At 38.7% G+C, this 22813-nt stretch overlaps 1 long non-coding RNA gene across 1 annotated transcript; it reads right to left on the bottom strand.

The window, feature by feature from the left end:
• Positions 1-6345: 6345 nt before the first annotated feature.
• LOC105375915 (uncharacterized) lies at positions 6346-13078 on the bottom strand. The gene is made up of 3 exons (XR_929080.2): positions 12972-13078; positions 10057-10244; positions 6346-6399 (listed from the first exon to the last, which is right to left on the bottom strand). It is a non-coding gene; the product is annotated as an uncharacterized LOC105375915 (long non-coding RNA).
• Positions 13079-22813: the final 9735 nt, after the last annotated feature.

Below are 22813 nucleotides of genomic sequence, written 5' to 3' on the forward strand. Positions count from 1 at the left end.
GGTAATCTTTCTGCATCATTTTACTTTGAGCCTCTGGGTGACATTACATGTGTCTCTTGAAGCCAGCAGATGGTTGAGTCTTTTCTTTTTATCTAGCTAGCCACTCTGTGACCTTTAATTGGGGCATTTAGCCCATTTACATTCAAGATTAATATTGATATGTATGATTCTGATGCTGTCATTGTGTTGCTACCTGGTTGTTATGTAGACTTGATTGCATAATTGCTTTATAGTACCTGTGGACTATGTGCTTAAGGGTGCTTATGTGGTAGCAGGTGTCATTCTTTCAATTCCATGTTTAGAACCCCCACAAAGACCTCCGATAAGTCTAGTCTACTTGAAACATATTCCCTCAGCATTTGCTTGTCTGAAAAGGATTTTATTTCTCCTTTATTTATGAAGGTTAGTTTGGTGGGATATGAAATTGCTGCTTGGAATTTTTTTTCTTAAAGGATGCCCAAAATAGGCTCTCAACCTATTCTGGCTTATAAAGTTTCTGCTGAGAGTTCTGCTGCAAGCCTGATGAGGTTCCCTCTATACGTGACTTGGCACTTCTTTCTACCTGCCTTTAAATTTTTTTCTTTTGCGTGTACTGGTAAATCTAACGACTATGATTTGGGGATGATCATCTTGCATAGTATCCAGCTGGAGTTCTCTGTATTTCTTGGATTTTCATGTCAACCTCTTTAGGAAGATTAGAAAAATTTTCACTGACTGTATCCTCAAATATGTTTTCCAGGTTGTTTATTCTCTCTCATTCTCTCTCAAGAATGCCAGTGAGTTATAGATTTGGTCTCTTTACATAATCTCGTATTTCCCAGAGATTGTTTATTTTTCTTGAAAGATCCTCAGAGAATACTAGGAAAACTCTATGCACACAAATTAGGAAACTTAGAGGAAATGGATATATTCCTGGAAAAACACAATCTCCAAGATCAAATCAGGAAGGGATTGAAACCCTGAATAGACCAATACCAAGCTCTGAAATTGAATTAGCAATTTAAAAAACTTACCAACCAAAAAAGCCCTGGACTGAATGGATTCACAGATGAATTCTACCAGATATAAAAAGAAGAACTGCTACCAATCCTACTGAAATTACTCCAAAAAATCAAAAGGAGGGATTTCTCCCTAACTCATTCTATGAAGCCACCATTAGCCTAATACCAAAATCTGACAAAGACATGATGAAGAAAGAAAACTTCAGGCCAATATCCCTGATAAACTTAGCTGTAAAAATCCTCAACAAAATACTAGCAAACTGAATCTAGCAGCATATCAAAAAGTTAATTAACCATGACCAAGTAGATTTTATTCCTAGGATACCAGGTTGGTTCAACATATGCAAATCAATAAATGTAATTCACTACATAAACAGAATTAAAAGCAAAAATTATATAATTATCTCAATAGATATGGATAACCCTTTTGATAAAATCCAATATCATTTCATGATTATAACCCTCAACAGTCCAGGCCTCAAAGGTACATACATACCTCAAAATAACAAGAGCCACCTGTAACAAACCCATAGCCAACATTATACTGAACAGGAAAAAGCTAGAACCATTCCCCTTGATAACAGTAACAAGGAGTGGATGCCCACTCTCACAACCCCTATTGAATACAGTACTGGGAGTCCTAGATAAAATAATCAGGCAAGAGAAAGAAATAAAAGTCATCCAAATAGGAAAATAAGTCAAACTACCTCTCTTCATTGACAATATGATTCTATACTTAGAAACCCTTAAAGATGCTGCCAAAGGGTCCTTACACTAACAAACAATTCTAGCAAGGTTTCAGAATACAAAATCAATGTAAAAAATGACTAGCATTTCTATACACCAATAATGTCCAGGCTGGCAGTCAAATCAAGAACATAATCCCATTTACAATAGCCACAGAGAAAATGGAATACCTAAGAATGCAGCTAACAAAGGAGGTGAAAGAGCTCTACAAGGAAAACTACAAAACATTACTGAAGGAAATCAGAGATGACACAAATAAATGGAAAAACATCCTATGCTCATAGATGAGAAGAATGAATATTGTTAAAATGGCCACACTGCCCAAAGTAATTTACAGATTAAATGCTATTTCTATCAAACTAAAATACCAATGTCATTCTTCACCAAATTAGAAAAAAAAATTTAAATTCATATAGAACCAAAAAAGATCCCAAGTAGCCAAAGCAATCCTAAGTAAAAAGAACAAAGCTGGAGGCATCACACTACCTGACTTCAAACTATACTATAAGACCACAGTAACCAAAACAACATGGTACTGGTCCAAAAACAGACACATTGAACAATGGAACAGAATGAAAACCAGAAATAAATCTGCACACCTAAAACTACCTGACCTTCAACAAGGCTGAGAAAGACAAGCAACAAGGAAAGAACTCCCTATTTAAGAAATGGTGCTATGATAATTGGCTAGCCATATGTGGAAGAATTAAGCTAGACCCTTACTTTCACCATATACAAAAATTAACTCAAGATGGTTAAAGATTTATATGTAAGACCTCAAACTGTAAAAATGTCCTAGAAGAAAACTTAGAGAATACTCTTCTTGACATCAGCCTTGGCAAAATAATTATGGTCATGTTCCCAAAAGCAATAGCAACAAAAACAAAAACTGACAAGTGGGACCTAATTAAACTAAAGAGCTTCTGCACATCAAAAGAAACTATCAATAGAGTAAACAGATAGCCTCCAGGATGGGAGGAAATATTTGCACACTATGTATCTGATAAAGACTTAATATCCAAAATCTATAAGGAACTTAAATCAACAAGCTTAAAATAAATAACCCCACTAAAAAGTGGGCAAAAGAAGACATACACATGACCAATAAATATGTGATAAAAGGCTCATCATCACTAATGATCAGAGAAATGCAAATCAAAATTGTAGTGAAATACCACAAGTCAGAATGACAACTCTTAAAAAGTCAAAAAACAACAGATTTCTCTGACGAGGCTGTGGAGAAAATGGAATGCTTATACACTGCTGGTAGGAATGTAAATTAGTTCAGCCACTGTGGAAAGCAGATTGAAAATTTTTCAAAGAACTTTCAACAGAGTTACCATTTGACCCAGCAATCCCATTACTGGGTATATCTCCAAAGGAATATATATCATTATACCAAAAAGGCACATGAAAAAAGAACATGAATTCATGTGTTCATTGCCACGCTATTCACAGTAGCAAAGACATAGAAATCAACCTAGGTGCCCCTCAGTGGTGGACTGAATTTTCAAAATGTGGTACATAGTTACCATGGAATGCTACACAGCCATGAAAAGAATGAAATAATGTCCTTTGCAGCAATACATTAATAGACGGAGCTGGAGGCCATAATTCTAAGCAAATTAATGCAGGAACAAAACACCGAATAGTGTATGTGCTCACTTGTAAGAAGGAGCTATACATTCAGCACACATGAACTTAAACATGGAAACAATAGACACTGCAGACTACTCAAGAGGGGAGGGGGGGAGGGGGGAATGGGTTGAAAACCGATCTATTTATTGGGTACTATGCTCACTACCCGGGTCCAATATACCCATGTAACAATTCTACATATGTACCCCCTCTATCTAAATTAAAAGCTGAAATTTTTTAAAAAAGAAAATAATATTTGAAGTACTGAGATTATAACAATTATAGCATTTAAAAATACATTTCCAGTTCAGATAGCTTTGTCTTGGTTCAACATATGCAAATCAACAACTATGATTCACTCCATAAATGGAATTAAAGGCAAAAACCATATGATCATCTCAATAGATGCAGACAAAGCTTTCAATAAAAATCCAGCATCCTTTCATGATAAAAATCCTCAACAGCCTAGATATTGAAGAAACATACCTCAAAATAACAAGAGCTGTCTGACAAACTCATAGCCAACATCAAACTGAACCAGCAGAAGTTAGAACCATTCCCACTGAGAACTCTAGCAAGCAGAGGATGCCCACTCTGACCCTTCCTATACATCACAGTACTGAAAATCCTAGCAAAAGCAATTAGACAAGAGAATGAAATAAAAGAAAAAAGGGAAAAAACTTTCTCTGATGAGAAAACTGATTGGCATTCTTGCATTTCTTTCCATTTCATGTCCCTCTTACTTTTGAGTCTTTTATATTAATATTTGCATTATTTTTACTTTGTCCAAATAAGGGGCATTTACATTCTGATCTGCAATCATAATTTATTTTATTATTTAGTCTTGGCTTCATATTTTATTGGATTAAATACCTTAAGCCATTTTGCCATAGCTGCTCCATTGTTGAATTCTTTCTTTGATATAGTTCATGTTTGGCTGAATTTCAGTGCTTTTTCTTTTTTCCTTTTTTCCAGAGTGACTTCTGAGTATCATATTTCTTTTCGCCTTTGAGAAAGTATTTTTGTGGCTTTTATTCTTGAACCATTACTTTGATGAATGAGATAAACTTATATTACAGTTTTTGTCCCTCAGTACTTTGTAGACATTACTCCATTGAAGGATGCTATGGAAAACAAATGGAATCACCTGAAAATTCTTTCCTTATGAGAAATATTTATTTTTTGCCTAGATGACTGAAGAATTTTATTTCTTTCTACTTTGAGTTCAATAACTTACCTAGTGTATCCTTCAGTTTTCACAGTTCTGAATCAATTTGTTTTTGTGTATCAAGAGTTTTTTCAAATGATTGATCTAGTCTTTTCTTCATTTCTGAGAAATTTTAATCAGTTGACTTTGAACTCCTCTTTCTGATTTCATTTGTTGAATTCCTTATTTCAAGGACTTGTATATCTTTTATGTTAGATTGTCTTTTTTTCTCCATTGCTAGGATATTATATGTTAAACCAATAGTTCATTTAATTTCTTTAGATTTATTTCTATACTCATTATAATTGCTATGTATGTTTTAAAATTTGATAGATATCATCAGAATACATACTAAAAATACTAGAGCAATTCATACCACTGGTCTTCAAGTTGGGCTTTGAATCAGATTTAATGAGAGTTCCAGCCCTCTCTTCACCTGCCCAAAATAATTTAATTTCTAGGAGGGACAGGAAAACTCACAGTGAATTAACTAAATAAAATTTCTCAAATACTTTGATTCATTGCTTAAAATGGGAATGATTTGCTTTTACCACTTTAACTCTTGAAGGAATCTTGTACCCTCAGAGCCAGGGAACTCCTCTAAGCCTCCTTTATATGATACATACATATGCATGTGTATATTCAGTGCCAGCCATGATGAGACTCACCAATACAGTCGGGTCAATTAAATAAAATCTAATGAAAATGAAACAGTGTCACAGCCTGAACACACTCATCTCTGAACTTCTGACAGGAATAATAAGGGATACTCCTAACATATGCAAAGGGTCCAGAATCTTATGGCTGAAAGCACCTGAAAACACATCATCCTGCTCATAATAGATCCTGGGCCATAAATTCCAATCATTATGATTATCTATTAATACCAGAAATTAAAGCAATAAAGATGTCAGGATCATTATCTTTTCCTGCTTTATTAAAACATTTATCTAAAATTCCAAATAAAGTAGAAAGCTAGGGGAATAAATCTTAGCAGTTTTTTACTCTAAAGGTAAAAGCATTGCAGAGCAAACTTTTCCAGTTCTTTGAACTATTGTGTTTAGATCTCACATCTGAAAGAGGTAAGAGACCGGGCAGAGAAGACATCATGGGACAGCTGCTCTGCTTGGCCAGGATTTCTTATTGCCCAAAGTGACAAAGAGTCTTAGGATCAGGCTGTTTCATGCTTGTGTTTAACCTTCCAGGGCATTTTTTCCCTCTTTCTTTGAACGTGCTTAGCTATATGATTCATATTATTTCACTGGGGCTGCAAACACAATCTGTTTCCAGTGTTCCTTAACAGGTCATCTTTTGAAGCTGCCATGATCCATGTCCTGGAAAAAGCACCATTGTCCTCTGCTTCAGCCCTGGTAAAAAGGCTTAGAAGATGGCGAGTGCCCAGATTCTCTCACAAAGTTAATGTGTTGTGGCTTTTCTGGAGTTTAATTTCTTTTTAAAAGAAGATTTTTATATCTTATATTATTACCATTAACCTAGAGATAGGTGGACACGGGTAAAATAAATGGAATCAGAATCACAGAAACTCTGATTTTTGCCTATTACCAAAGTCTCCTTATTCAACATTCTGATAGTTTTTGTCATTTTAAAAAATTTGTTCTACTCAACGTCTTGGCTCCTCTCATTTTGGTATCACTCGAGCAACTGCTACGTGCTGAGCACAGAACCAAGGGCCATGCAAGATGTGCAGGGTTGTGTAGTGCTGAGATTCCAACAGACAATTCTACCACTTACTAGCTGTGGATGCTGCACAAGTCTTTTAACTTCCACGAATCTCAGGTTTCTCACCTGTGAAAGCGGGACAACAAAAAAAGAAACAATCAAGATGAAGATGATGATGAAGACTATGATAATAAGGAGGCCCTGCAGTGCATTTGTACTACCAGAAAATGACATCCTCTCTTCGGCACAGTCTATATTCATCTCAGATATCTGAAATATTTGGATTTTATTAATGTAAGCCACTGTACAGTCATCAGATCAAAATTTGTCACAATAAATACATATGTTTATGATGCCTCCGACAAGAATAGTTTCTTTAGATGGGGTGGCCTTGTAGAATGGAGAGCCTGCACACCTAAATTCAACAACTCTGAAAGATAAACTAGATGATGTGGGTCAAGTGCCCACCCAATATGCCCAATACGGGTCTTATACTGGGCACTCAAAAAATGTTAACTATTATATCATTTTAAAAATTGTAGTTTTTTTTCTGCACCAAGAACATCAGTGAGACTATAAGTGAATTATTTTTGTATTTTAATGTTTTTGTCTTTTAAAATATTTGACCTTATAAATCCATTATTTGCTGTAATCTGGTATCAAAACCAATTGGAAAACATTGGAGTGAAACAGAGAATATGATTAGTTAGACACAGCAGATGCAGCTCATGTCATCCCAATTCTGGCCAGGGGATCTTTTTGGGGTAGTACTACTATGCTTTGGAAGAAACCCTAATTACCAGATGCTAAGGCAGGGTATGAAAATCCCAGACTTAGCAGCAGACAGACCTAGGTTTTTATTATGACAACCCTATAAAATAGGTATCACCCTCATCATCATTATTTTTGTTGCTATTATTTGTTTCATTTTACAGATAAGAAAAATAAGGTTGAATAACTTGATCACAATCATACAACTAAAAAGTAGCAGATCCAGGATTCAAAAATTCAAGCCTTTTTTTCTATCACAGCAAGCGATAATGAAAAGACATATCTGAAAGATTTGCAGAAGCTACAAACATTTTGATTTGTAGAGTGGTGACAGAGAAGAAACAGACATGATTTTCAAGTTTTAGCTTAGGATGATCATAGGGATAAAACAAAAATTAGGAAATTGTGGTGTGAACAAAGGTAAGGAGGAAAGAGTTTCAAGGAGGCAGCACTCAGTGGGAAAAATAAGATAGGAGTTGGAAAAAGATGTGACCATGTACAAGAAAAAAGAATTAACCAGTATGAAGGGCTCAACTGATATGAGAAGTCACAAACTAGAAATGGCATAAACTCACATGATTGTGTGATCTTCTCAAACAGTATTTAGTAGTTAAATGGAGGATTTTAAAAGATTCACAGAGCAAGAAAGAGCAAGTTGTTGAGATTCAGGATAAATTATTAAGTGCTGGACCATAATGGTATGGCATTAAATGACTCTAAAATAGAAATGATACATTTGATGAGGCGGCAGAGAAGGGGATGGGGACCCTTACAGCCTGAAAAATCCCCATGAGTTTGGAAAGCATAAGAAGTTGAGTGAGATCAGTGAGTAGAACATAAGAATTTAAAATTTCAGACATGGAGAAATGCTAGATGATACTAAAAGTTCAGGTACAACTTTAGTGGTCAGTAAATTATGTGAAGTAAAAGTGAAGTTTTATGGAGTTAACGAAATTGTTAGGTTGCCATTACAGATACTGAAATTTCTCAAAATGGAGACTTGAGCTCAGGAGGACCATGAGTTAGAGGCCAATGTCCACAGAGTCCACAATGTCTACAGATGAATGATGGCACCAAGAGGAAGGCTGGCAAAGCTGGAAGGAGTGAGCATCTTGGGAGGAAGATGTTTTGTAAGAGGATGCAAGGATAAGAGTTTGAAGCAGCAACAGGACCTTAGAAAATGTGCACGGTGCCTCCAAACTCTGGATCGTGGCACATGGGATAAAGAACGGTCTTATTTAGGCATATGGAATGACATCAATTATTTGGGAAGATAAATATGTTTTACTTCATCAGAGAAGGGAGAAAGAATTCTAGAAGAGGCAAAGAATTTAGGAGAATTTATTAGAGATGAAACATAATATTCAGAGAAGGCAGAAGAGACCACTATTGGGAAGGGCTGGGAAAAAGAGGACAGAGTAGAATGTATGGAAGGAGGATGGGTAAAGGTCTAAGGTGGCTTATCTCTCAGACATTGACTGAGAACTGTGAAGATGAGAAGCCAGGTGAAGTTTTGTTGTCCTAAATTTCCCACCTGTGGTAAAATGTGTTGGCGGGCTGAAGCTACTAGACAACACTTGAGTTTCTGCAGCATTTCCTCACTGTCTGTTGACACATTATATGTAGATTCCTGGGAATGGCTAATGAGACAAAATATTTGAAACCAGAACAAAAGTTCATGTGTTCCCAGCCATGCTACATGATGCCCAGCTACTTCGAAAAATAATGCGTAAGATAGAATGGTCATAGGCTTTGGAGTCAGACACTTTCAGATTGAGATCTGTCCCTGCCATTCAGTTGTGGTGTGAACAATTGGCTTAACCTGTATGAGCTTCATTTCCTTTATCTGTAAAATAGGGATGATAAAAAATATATCTCCAAGGGTTATCATGAAGATTATTAAATAAGATACAATATGAGAAGTCACAAATAAGAGTCATGGATCAGGCCCTCAATATACAACATTTAGTCTTATTACTCAAGGCCAAAAGCTCTGGTCTGTTGGTTCAAAGCCTGAATTATTGCTTCTAGAGCAAGCAACAAGGCTGAACATATCTAGTCTACTTCTTGTCAAATGGCCAATAGCTAGGAATTAAAAGCCCATTTGTATTGATAAGGACTTAAGTGTTACATCTTTTTCTGGGAAGACGTCAATTGTTTGGTCAAATTGTCTTCTAAAGCAGAGGGCTCCAGCCTGATAAAAAGTTGAAATGGAAGGTGAAATGAAAATCAGTATCTGGATCAGGACCAAGTAACTAATACTGCATGTTTTGCAAAGTTTAAGTGTTTGCATGTTTTGCAAAGTGTAATTGTTAGCAGAAGTGAATCTGTACAGGTCTGTATCAAACTCAATTCTTGCCTCCTCAAGATAAATAAATTCAGCTGAGGGGCATAAGGCAGAAGGAAAGACCGAGGGAAATTTCAGAGCAGGAGTGAAATTTTATAAAAAGCTTTGGAACAGGAACAAATGGAAGTAAAGTACTCTTGGAAGAGGGCGAAGCGGGTGACTTGAGAGATCAAGTGCATTGTTTGACATTTTGACTTGGAATTTTATATGTTGGCATACTTCTGGGGTCTTGCGTTACTTCTCCCACCACTCACCCAACTCCTAAGGTGGCTGATCACCAGTTCAGGTGTTTTCTGTCTATTAGGATATGGCCTTTCTCTGGCATTGGCTGTGACCAATTGTTACTTTAGAGAGACAGTTAACAACACCCAGACCATCCCCTGGCAGTCATCTGACACTCCTGATGTGTGTTAGGGGGAGCCCTCTCCTGCCTTGTTTATGCCATGACTAACTATCTACTGTAACATCACCCCCTCAAGAGTCCAAGACCCCAATTTTTGGGGAAAATGGGTGAAGGTCACTCTTCTGCTTCCTGCTGATAGAAGGGCAGTGGTGGTTGTTCTGTGGGTCTTGGCCTCTTGCTAGTTGTCAGGGTGGGGTTGGCTCTATGGGTTGGTGAAAGCAGTATCCAGACAGGTCCAAGATAGACAGGGGCAGAATTTTACCTCTGTCATGTCCCACTGATGGGAAGTCTAGGGATCTTCTGTAGAAGGGTGACTCTTGAATATTGAGAGGACAGTATCCCTCACTGAGGATCATCTGGAGCTTGATGGCCGATCCCTCTTGTTTCTTCTGAACTGCAGAGGTCCCTTGTTGGTTTACAGGAATAAGCAGGGTTAGCCTAAACTGCAGCCTGTGAAGGGGGAGCAGATATGAAGGTTATCTACAGACTGTAGAAGTTTATACCCCCTCAAGAGATTGCTTGGTTGGATTTTTACTAAGGCTATCCAAATAAATGTTGGCTATTTCTAAACCCCTGAGGTAGGACTGACCAAGTTGAAGTTATTGGTTAAAGATTTAGGTAGCTTTCCCAGGAGAAATAAGGCTATTATAGAGAAAGATGACTTCAGAGGTTGGGTAAACATTAAGCGAGCACCTATCTTGGAAAATATATTTGTGTCACAAAGAGGTGTGGGGTATTTAGACATTACCAAGGACTGGTGGGGAAATGGTAATTTGTCCCTTAAGTAATATAAAGGGGTGTGAATCTTTTTGGTCCCTTAAGTAATATAAAGGGGTGTGAATTTTTTCTTTTGGAGGGAGGGGATGCCATTTGCCCTGATTACCCAATAGGATTTGGAGGAGAGTTGCTCAGAGAAGGAGACAAGCACAGAGTAGGCAGCTTTTCAACCCAGAAGGGAAATTTATAATTTTACTTGCTGCATCCGGAGTTTCCCTTAGCTTTGTCTTATTGACGACAGTGTCTGATTTAGAAGTCAGCCAGAGCAGAGAGTCCTTCAGTTCAAGGCTATCAGGGATTGGGATTTTGTCCCTGGGAAACTTAGGCCCTCAGGGCAGTCCCATTTTCAGAAGCCAAGCTTGTGGCAGAGGGGGCAAGCCATTCGGGACTTTTTCCCATTTATCCCATTGGAACAATTTGCCTTCTGGTGGCCTGGTTTCCCACACCAATGGCAGTTACATGGAGGAGTGTCCTTAGGGCCACCTGGAGGGTGCTGGAGAGTTTCTAAAGCAGCCAATAATTGAACCTGCCTCTTATTCATGCATTTCTCCTTTTTCTTAGTCTTACCCTCCTTATTCTGATCTCAGTTATAAAATACTGAGGAGGCTAATCTGAAGACCTCCTGTGCAGGGGCACTGGGTTGCAAAGCTGACTTTTGTAATTTTCTTCAAGTTCATTTTTAGGTCAAACAGTATTATAAATGAAAACTAAGTGTTTTTTTTTTTCTTAAGGTTTGAGGGAATCAAACTTTTCCCAGTTTTGAGGGATGCTTCTGAGGGGCATATCCTATGGTGTGGAGACACGATTATCCATTTACAAAGAGAGAAGAGAGGAAAAAAGGTAAGAGTGTTCCCTCTATTTTCCTATTACCCTGAGTTGGGGCAACCCCCATCATCCATTGGGTTCTGGGATGAACTTGTCTTACCATTTACCCTTGGTCCCATCTCATCACAATTACCCACTTGAGAACAGGGGAGATGCTGGAGTGAACAGTGGGCCCCCTGTTCATCCTTGGGGTTCTGGAATTAACCAATCTTACTGTGTATTCCTAACCTTTCATCTCTGTTCTGATGGTGTGGTCTGTTAGCCTGGGACCACCCTTCATCTCTGTCCTATGGGTCTCTTGCACCTGCAGCCTTAGGCTCACCTATATCCTTGTTTCCATGACCTTATAGTGACTCTCACTCAGAGCATTCTAGCAACAAAATAATTATCTCTTTTCTTAGCTTCCTGTTTACCCTGTTCTTTATGAGAAGCCTGTTTTTCAGCTAACGGCCCCAAGGGGGCTAGACTTCCCTCCCTTCAAATATGACCTTGAAGGTCTTGATGCATGTTGAGAAGGGAAAGAGAGGCTACACGAAGAGGTGGGAGAAGGTGAGAGGAATACTCATGGAAAGCCTTCATATGCTCGCAAAAACAGCAGCCCTAGGATTCGAGAGGAGACTTATTTGCCCTCTTGACATAAACTACTAACCTCTGGAGGATTTGGGGCTTGGGGTAAGAACTCACAAATGGAAAACAAATAATTTCCCCTCATCCAAAAGGGGTGCTAACTCAAAAAAGGCAAGTAGGTGGGATCCTTAGAAGGCCAGAGTGAGGTCTTACGCAGCTGGACAAACTGCTTCAAAAGCCACCAGAAAACTCGGCCCTAGGGCATAACAGGAATGAAAAGCATATGATAAGTCATAAGGATCTGGCAGAGCCGGAGTTTTAATTAATGTCTGTCCCAGCAATGTGCCAGGAGACAGGGGGAGGGTTGCAGGTCATCCGAGCTGGTAGGGTAAGAACAAGTATAAATCTCGGGGGATATCTGCAAGGGAGCCTGAGTCTTTGCTGTCACACAATGCAATTAAGAGCTGCAGGCTCATGAATAACAGGGAGTGTGTGTTTTTAAGGCAGAGAAGGAAGTCACGCAGCATGCCATATGAAACCAAAGAAAAGGCCGACTTGCCCTCTGAGTCAGACAGTCTGGCTGGTGCGCAAGGCTATTTCAGAACACACACACAGAAAACAGAATAGGCAGTGCAGGTTCTTGGGAAAGAGCCGATTTTAGTTGAAAAATGCAGAGAAAACCCCAGACATTGCACGGTTTTAGGGTTTTAGGCTTTAGCCCTACCACCCTGGCAAGCCTCCTAAGAGGGCCATTAATGCCTCAGTACCACTCGGTGCAGACCCCACAGTCCTTCCAGACCCCGCGAGCCCATTCAGGGTGAGCTGAAGATCCGCCGAAGGAGCAGAGTCACTTATCCCCGAGAAGAATTGTTCTGGGGGCTGGATAGTGAACAGGAGAGTGAAAGGGGAGAAGAAAGCCATGTACAGGGGTTGAACACCTCCAGCCAAAGAAGGCAAGGCATAGAGGTCTCTTACTACCGAGTCACATGCAGCACCAAAGTATATTACCGGTGGAACATTTCCGAGTCACAGGGCACCGAAATATGTTAGCGGCAGTGGTTCTGTCCAGGTCTGAAGCAAACTCAATTCTTGCCTCCGCAGAAGAAACGATTCAGCTGAGGGGCATTAAGATAGAGTGAGACTGAGGCAAGTTTTAGAGCAGTGAAAACTTATTTAAAAGCTTTAGAACAGGAACGAACGAATGTAAAGTACACTTAGAAGAGGGCCACGGGGCAATTTGAGAGATCAAATGCGAGCTTTAACCTTTTGACTTGGGGTTTTACACGTTGGCGTACTTCCGGCTTATATTACCTCTCCCTGCTTGCTCAGCTCCTGCGATCTTATAGGAAAGCTGATGATCACCAGTTTCAGGTGTTTTCTATCTATTAGGGGACTGCCTTTCCCTGGCACCAGCTGTGACCAATTATTACTTTTGAAAGACAGTTCACAACAGCCTGAGCATCACCTGATGGTCTCCCAACACTCCTGGTGTGTGTGGTGTGTGTGTCGTGGGGAGCCCTCTCCTGCCCTGCTCGGTTGCCTGACTAGCTACCTACTGTAATATAATGAATGAATCACTGGTGTCCATAGAGGTTGGTGTCTTTGAAGAGGAAATCAACCAAAAACAGAGCCTCCAACCTTCTCCTCAAGTTTGTCCCAGGCCTTTCTTGAAAGGAAGGATGATGTCTTCAGGGATCTGGGTGTCTTGCCACCATAAGATACATATAAACTTGTCAATTTAGCCTATTTATTTTTATATCAAGAAGCAAACTGTTGAAATACTTTGGTGACCAATCATTATCCAGTATCCTTCTCCCCTGTTGCCAAGAGTTCTCTCATAAAAGACGAATAAGACTAATATTTCTTGGATGCAAATGGATACAGACCAAGATAAACATGAGTCACACTCAAGCTCATCAGGACAGGAGAATACAGCCTGTTTTATTGATCAGGCATAACATTTAAATCCAAAACATATATTGAATTAATATCTCTTAAAAATTTGAGCAACTACACATTTAGGAAAGGTTCATTGAACAGATGAAGTATTTAATCAAGTCTCTTCCTTTTCTCTCTAACATATGTTCATATCTAAGGAGGGTATGTCAAATTAGCACAGGCAAAAATCCTGCCAAAACTGAAACAAAAGAAAATAACACAAGATCATTTCAAACTTATAAAATGCTTTGTTTCTTTGCATTTCCAAAAATGAAAGTCTCTTTTTAATTTGCTGTTTCACTTGGTGCTCAAAACAGAGCTCCCCAAAACAATTTAGAAAATGGATTCTCTTACGGAGTTGAGACCTGCTGCTAATCAGTGCTTTCTCACAGAATGTGAGAAACATGCATATCATTTTCTTCTCTTTCCTGCCATTTGCTCTCCCCACTTTTGCATTTTGATTGGTCCCGCTGTTACTGTTTTCATTATCCCGATTTTAAGAATTTCACAGGTCAAAGATATATGGGTGTGCAATACCAGTATACCTTGTTTCAGGATAGATACTGAGTTTTAATAAACTCCACAAGAAAAATGCTTTCATTAAATTTTTCAAAACGATTTATGTGAAAATTACTACAACCTTGATGACAATAGGAAGAAATGCTACAACAGCACTACAGTTAACGGTCTTTCTGGGTCGAGCCTCCCAAAATGAAAATACAGATAATTGATAACATGTTTGGGTGTGGAAAAAAATCAGCATTAAGAGAACATCTGCAGAATGTTATATGCTAGGGGATACTGTTAATAGACTATTGCAGATTCCCTCCTGGGAAATAAAAAATGAAGTTAAATCTAGTAACTCCACGGAGGTTTCATTTTAGAAATGGTTTTCTCTATTCCTCTGTGTGTGTGTATGTGTGTGACTGTGTGTGTGCATTTGTGTGTCTCTGGTGTTTATTCTTGTAAATAGCAAGTCAGTCATTTCAGTGTAGCATAAAAAGCAGCTACAGCAAAGAACAATGCATTTATTCAACTAAAACTGGTATGTTCCAAGCTTCACAACTTTTGAGAATTAGTTCAAATTTAAATTAATCTCCCAAATTTTGTTCTTTCTGATGCTCCAAATACTCATGCAAGAAAGCCAAGTCTTTCCCCCAGAATCTCTTCTTCAAATACTTCCTAGTTCTCTGGAGTGCTCACAAATGCCTGAGGATCCGTTTTGATCATCCTTTCTGCCCACCAGGGACATGTGAATTACCTTTCACATCTCCCTTGATGCCAGTATTGAGAACCATTGGCCACACCTTAGCCATGCATAAAATTTGCTACTACTTTGGCCACTAGTAATGGTGAAACTTAGCACCACAGAAATATATTAACAGGCAAGGATGGAGTTGGAGTGGAGAAGCAGGAAGAAAAAGTCTAAAATAAGGTTTCTTCATCTCTGAAGGGTTTGTGGTAAGCAGATGCCTGTGTCCCAAATATGTCTGTATCCTAACCCTGGAACCCAAGAATAAGTTACTTTATAAGGAAATGCAACTTTGCAGTGTGGTTAAAGTTAAGGACCTTGAAATGAGGAGATTATTCAGGACCCATCTAATCACACAAACCCTTGGATGTGGACAACCTTTTGCAGCTGAAGTCAGAGTCAAAGGAAGTATAAGAGACATGCAACGTCACTGTCTTTGAAGACTCGGGGAGGCCATGAACCAAAGTATGAAAGTATCGCAAGAAGCTAGAAAAGATAAAAAAAAAAAAAAAAAAAAAAAAAAACAGATTCTCCCTAAGATTCTTCCCTAGTACCTCCAGAAGGGAACGCAGCCCTGCTGACATCTTGAGTGTCGCCCAGTGAGACCTGTGTTTGCCTTCTGACCTACAGAACTGTAACATAATAAAATTGTATTGTTTTAGGCCCCTAAAAATTTTGTGATAATTTGTTATGGTAGCAATAGGAAACCAATACAGGGTTGTGACAGTTTAGCAATTTGGCTCTTTTCTTCTGTCATGATCACAGACATGTGTCTCCCCCAATCTACTACCTACAGCTGGCACCAGGGCCCACACATCAGAGGTCACCCTACCATGGCCTGGCTCAGAATGGGGAAGGCATTTCTTCCCTTCACAGTCTGCTCAGACAGAGGAGCCACCACCAGCATGTGGCAGCTTTCTAGTCACTTACCCCATTCCCTGGTGTACAGTCTCACCAACCAGGTGACTGACTGCCTGAAGTAGCAAATTCCTGATTTCAAAATCAACACTGCCTTTTAACCTTCACCTTTAATGTAAAAGCCAGACTTCAACTCAAATTCTCTCATGTTCAGCTTCTTCTCAGAAGCTATCCTACTCTCTCTGTACTTTTTGTACCTTTGGAAACAACTGGGTGACAAGGTGACAATTGGTGATACCTTTGACCAATAGAATTTTGTGGGAGTTATACTGTCCCAGTTGCAGGCACAGCCCTTCACTCTTCTGTCTTGTTACATAATGATAGATAACCAGGACAGGATCATTCCCCAGGCATCTCCCTTGGTCACTTCTAATCTAATATTTCAGCACCATGTTGATATAGGCATACCAATTGCAGGGGTTCTCCAAGAGGCAAGCAGTATGTCCAGGATCCACCCGGGGAGTGACACAGCTGCAGCAGGGCACTCAGAGCCACCCAGACACATACGTTGTTTCCTCACTTCAGGTTTTCTATCTAAGAGTAATTGGATACCTGCATGTGAATTCCTTTCTCTCTTTTTCATACACACACACACACGTGTTAGCACATCTGCTTCCACTGATCAAGTACACTGGATAATACCTCTACTTCCCAATTCACATAGCCTTAAGCAAGACATTGATATGAATGTGTATATGGTTATTTATTCATGACAACCTATATCTAACTTTGATTTGATACAGCAGATACAATAACACCAAGAACCAAGTGGTAAAGTATGAGTAACAAGGAAGAGTTATAACTTCAAAAAATTCTCTGTAAAAGAATACTGGCATAGTACACACAGTTCTGTCTTTGCCATATCTCCTTACTCTTCATTACAGCCATATGAAATAATTACCATTGTCTCCAATTTTCAGGAAGGCAACCGATATCCTCAGAAAGCGTAATAACTTGCCTAAAGTCTCACATAACTAATATTCAACCAGATTTTCAACCCAGGTTCACATAACATGTTTCTATAACTTTTCTATCCTTTTACTTATCTTAACCTAGTTCCACTCAAGGGGGCTATAGCCATCCATTTGGATGAGCAACTTGGTTAGGATCATGGCTTTTTCTCCAAAACACAAACTTTAAACCTATATCAAAGCAACTGGAATTGCTCTTAATTAGTACATAGAACTCTGGCATTACAGATCCTTACCAGAGACTACAACCCTAAACTCTTTGCAGTTCAAAACTTGTCAGAAGCCAGACAAGAAGAAACGCTGTTTATGGAATAATTTTTAGCTGAGCAGTTCACTGGGTAACAGATAAATCCAAATTTAAGCAGCATTGTTTCATTAAACATTAGAGGGCAATTTAAGAACAAACTTTTATAATCTAGGGTCAGAATGCTAACAAGAACATTGTCCTCTTTACTAGAGCCTGGAGGAGAAATTTTGCTCATATCTCAGAATCTGGAAACACTGTGCTTCTTTGGAATACTGCTTAGTTTTTCATATTTTGGAAACTTTAAATCTTGTAAACAACTCTATTTTCTCTCTTCTTTGCCTTTTAGGGAAGTTTTAAGTCAAATTTGCAGGCATATCTCAGGATCATATGGTATGTTAGGTGTGTCACAATTAGTTTTAGTTTTATTATTGTTCTGTTTATTTTTTCCCTTCAACTTGGCTGCCCCATTTACTTATCTCAGCCTTCTAATTGTACATATACAATTCAAAAATTGTATGGAACTTGGTAATTCATACATTAAAAGAAATAAGAATAATTTCTAGTTCTATGAGGCCCACTTAATAATCAAGTCATGTGTTTTTCTATGTTTCTGGCTCAATATTAAAATGAAGCCTGAATAATCCTAAATTTATATAATTACTATTCTTAGGTAATCCTGTCTATATATCCACTGATTCAGTTGTGCTTTTATAGGACCTCTAGTGACAATTCCTCAAAATAAAGATTGCTGGAAAGAATCATAACATCAGATATTATTTTGGTTGTGGTTAAAACAAGATTGATATAACCTTAGATTCTACTAGGGTAGGTAAAAGGGTTGAGGATTTATTTTGAACATGATATTATAGATAAAGGCTTTGAGGTTGTTTAAATCTGCTCCAAATCTGATTTCTTCTTACTGTCTGCTTAACTTTGTGACTTACCCTCTCCTTGCACTGCAGTTTTCAATAGGAAATACCTTGCTTAGTTGGTTGGATGATTAAATGAGATAATACACATAAAACATTTAACATAGAGCCTGGCAGAATAGGTCAACAAATGAGGATTATTACTGCTATTATTAGTAGTGTGATTATCTAAAAATAATAAATATTAGCTATTGCTGTTATTACCATTATTATTTTTTTTTTTTGAGACAGAGTCTTGCTCTTTCGCCCAGGCCAGAGTGCAGTGGCGCTATCTCAGCTCACTGCAAGCTCCGCCTCCCAGGTTCACACCATTCTCCTGCCTCAGCCTCCCGAGTAGCTGGGACTACAGGCGCCTGACACCACGCCCGGCTAATTTTTTGTATTTTTAGTAGAGGCGGGGTTTCACCGTGTTAGCCAGGATGGTCTCGATCGCCTGACCTCGTGATCCGCCCGCCTTGGCCTCCCAAAGTGCTGGGATTACAGGTGTGAGCCACTGCGCCCAGCCTATTACCATTATTATTATCACAAAACAAATGACATCTGAAAGCAGGGAAAGGACTTCCTCAGAAGGCAGCAATGCATTTACTCCACTGGTTGTGCAAGTACCTACTAGAAATGTCAAAGTTTTCATGTCAACAAATCAAAGAAGCAGAAGCTCCTGAGGGTGGAAGTTATCAAAAGCTTAACTGTATAACAGCATGACTTTAAATAAGCTCTATAACAATTTGCATTTGAACATATCCTTAGAAACCTATCAAGATCAATTAGCTTCACAGCGAACCCCCGTAAAACTAAGTGATATAATTGGTTGGACAGAATCATTTAGTTCATCCATCTGGTAACCAAAGCAATTCTGCCAAAAATCATTTTAGTTTTAGCACACATCATACTGAAATATCCTTCCTAATTATTGGCCATCAACAAATTATTGAACTCCTTCTGGAGAATATTAGAGGAACATGGATATAGGATATTTAGTCTGTTTATCAATCTATTTATCTAGCTGTTTATCTATAGTTTTTAGGTAAACGAGAAATTGTGAGTCAGATTTTCAGCTTAGATTATCTATATATATATGTATATATATACATATATATATGAAGTAAAAGATCTAAAATATTGCAGGTCAGCTATGCCACATATAAAAGCATTCTGTCGCTTTATTCTTCTCAAGGAAAATGTTGTTTCCTGAAGCCTTAACATCAAGTTTTATACTAAAGATTTTTATACTTAATTGATTTTGTTCACATTAAGAGCTGAAACTCCCTGTTTTGTTCACTTCTATATGGCCAGTGCCTAAAATGGGTCTGATACATAGTGAGCACTCTATTTATTGGATTAATAAATGAATAAATAGATATGTTAGCTAGAAAAGCAATAAATAATATTTAAAATCACAGTTTTGAATAATTTTTTTAGTATTTTATTTTCATTTTTTTAATTTTTGTAGGTACATAGTAATTGTATATATTTATGGAGTACAAGAGGTGTTTGATACAGTATGCAATGTGAAATAATCACCTCATGGAGCATGGGGTATCCATCCCCTCAAGCATTTATTCTTTGTATTACAAGCAATCCAATTACATTCTTTTAGTAATTTTAAAATGTATAATTAAGTTACTATTTATTATAATTTTAATACTTATATGGTTTGGCTGTGTCCCCACCCAAATCTCATCTTGAATTATAGTTCCCATAATCCCCATGGGTCATGGGAGGGATCCAGTGGGAGATAATTGAATCATGACGGCAGTTTTCCCCATGCTATCCTCCTGAAAGTAAGTTCTCATCAGATCTGATGGTTTTATAGGACGCTTCCCCCTTCACTCAGCTCTCATTCTTCTCCTTGCAGCCACCATGTGAAGAAGGACATGTTTGTTTCCCCTGGGGCCTCTCCATCCTTGCTGAACTGTGAGTCAATTAAACCTCTTTCCTTTATAAATTACCCAGTCTTGAGTATGTATTTATTAGCAGCATGAGAACAGACTAATGCAGTAAATTGGTACAAGCAGAGATGGGTGCTGCTATTAGAATACTCAAAAATGTGGAACAGTTTGGAGGGCTCAGAAGAAGACAGGAAAACGTAGGACAGTTTGGAACTTCCCAGAGACTTGGAGGGCTCAGAAGACAGGAAGATGTGGGAAAGTCTGGAACTTCCTAGAGACTTGCTGAATGGCTTTGACCAAAATACTGATAGTGATATGGACAATGCAGTCCAGCTGAAGTGGTCTCAGATGGAGATGAGGAACTTGTTGGGAACTGGAGCAAAGGTGACTCTTGTTAGCTTTAGCAAAGGGACTAGTGGCATTTTGCCACTGCCCTAGAGATTTGTGGAACTTTGAACTTGACAGAGATTATTTAAGATATCTGGCAGAAAAAAAAAATTGTAAGCAGTAAAGCATTCAAGATGAAGCAGAGCATAAAAGTTTGGAAAATATGTGGTCTGATGATGTGATATAAAAGAAAAACCCATATCTTGGGGAGAAATTCATGCTTGCTGCAGAAATTTGCATAAGTATTGAGGAGCTGAATGTTTTCACTAAGACAATGGGGGAAAATGTCTCCAGGGCATGTCAGAAAGCTTCATGGCACCCCCTCCCATCACAGGCCCAGAGAGCTAGGAGGAGAAAATGGTTTAGTGGACCAGGCCCAGGGCCCCCTTACTGTGTGCAGCCTAGGGACTTGGTGCCCTGTATCCCAGTCACTCCAGCTTTGGCTAAAAGGGGCCAAGATACAGCTAGGGCCGTGGTTTCCCAAGGTGCAAATCCCAAGCCTTGGCAGCTTCCACATGGTGTTGAGCCTGCAGGTGCATAGAAGTCAAGCACTGAGATTTGGGAACCTCTGCCTAGATTACACAGAATGTATGAAAATGCCCGGATGTCCATGGAAGAAGTTTACTGCAGGGGCAGAGCCCTCATGGAGAACCTCTGCTAGGACAGTGCAGAAGGAAAATGTTGGGTCAGAGCCCACACACAGACTCCCCACTGGGGCACTGCCTAGTGGAGCTGCGAGAAGAGGGCTGTGGTCCTTCAGACCACAGAATGGTGGATCCACCAACAGCTTAAACTATGCACCTGGGAAAGCCACAGACACTCAATGGCAGCCTGTGAAAGCAGTTGAGAGGGGGCTGTTACTCTGCAAAGCCACAGGGGCAGAGCTGCCCAAGGCTGTGGGAGCCCACCCTTTGTATCACCATGACCTGGATGTTAGACATGGAGTCAAAGGAGATTATTTAGGAACTTTAAGATTTAATGACTGCCTCACTGTATTTCAGACTTGCATGGGGCCTTTTGTTTTGGACAATTTCTCCCATTTGGAACAGGTGTATTTATACAATGCTTGTACCTCCCTTGTATCTATAAAGTAAGTTGCTTTTGATATTACAGGCTTATAGGTGGAAGGGACTTGCCTTGTCTCAGATGAGACTTTGGACTTGGACTTTTGGGTTAATGCTGGAATGAGCTAAGACTTTGGGGGACTGTTGGAAAGGCATGATTGTGTTTTGAAATGTGAGGACATGAGATTTGGAAGGGGCCAGGGGTGGAACGGTATGGTTTGGCTGTGTCCCCACCCCAATCTCATCTTGAACTATAGTTCCCATAGTCCCCACATGTGGTGGGAGGGACCCGGTGACAGGTAATTGAATCTTGGGGGCGGATTCCCCCATGCTATTCTCATGACAGTGAGTCAGTTCTCACAAGATCTGATGAATTTATAAGGGGCTTCCCCTTTGCTGAGCTCTCACTCCTCTCCTTGCTCCCAACATATGAAGAAGGATGTGTTTGCTTCCCCTTCCACCATGATGGTGCATTTCCTGAGGCCTCCCCATCCTTGCTGAATTGTGAGTCAATTAAACCTCTTTCCAGGTTTCCCTTTAAATTAACTAGTCTCAGGTATATCTTTATTAGCAGCATGGGAATGGACTAATAGAAATAATATGTGATGTGGATCCCTTCTGCGGATAGTTAAATAAAACAAAAAAGAATGTAACATTGTATTACTTATTACTATCTCTTCTAATACTCTGAAAATTTTAAGCAACGATAAAATGCCGTTTTCAGCTGTATCAGTGTTTCTGCAGTTGCAGGCATCATAACATTGTGATATCTAGAACAAATCTTTATACCTAATAACAAACCTAAATATTCCCTTTTAGGACTTCAAACAATTTTATCTTGTAATAAATTATCTTTCTTGTTTCCTCAGATTTAAAATCATGGTCAACTAGACACTTCTCTTTGAATCTGTTTTATTATCTTTATAATAGTTTAATAAATTTCTAGATGGTTTTAAAATACCTAGATAAATTTAAGTAATTTTAATGATTTGAATTCATTTTGCAAAACAATTCCCAGCGTGTGACATAAAAGAAATATTTAACATATATTTTTTAAAGACATGCTATTAACTCAGCCGAAATGTTCTCAACACACTTCATTATATGCAAAAGCTCCAAATGTCCTGAATAAAAATGACTTGCTAATATTCAGTAATATATTATCTCATATTTACATATTTCTTTAATATATTTACATATAACTATCAAATAATTATTCTGGCTATGCTTAGAATTTTAAATTTTACTTGTCTTT

Source organism: Homo sapiens, chromosome 8, assembly GCF_000001405.40.
Source record: "Homo sapiens chromosome 8, GRCh38.p14 Primary Assembly".
Taxonomy (NCBI): domain Eukaryota; kingdom Metazoa; phylum Chordata; class Mammalia; order Primates; family Hominidae; genus Homo; species Homo sapiens.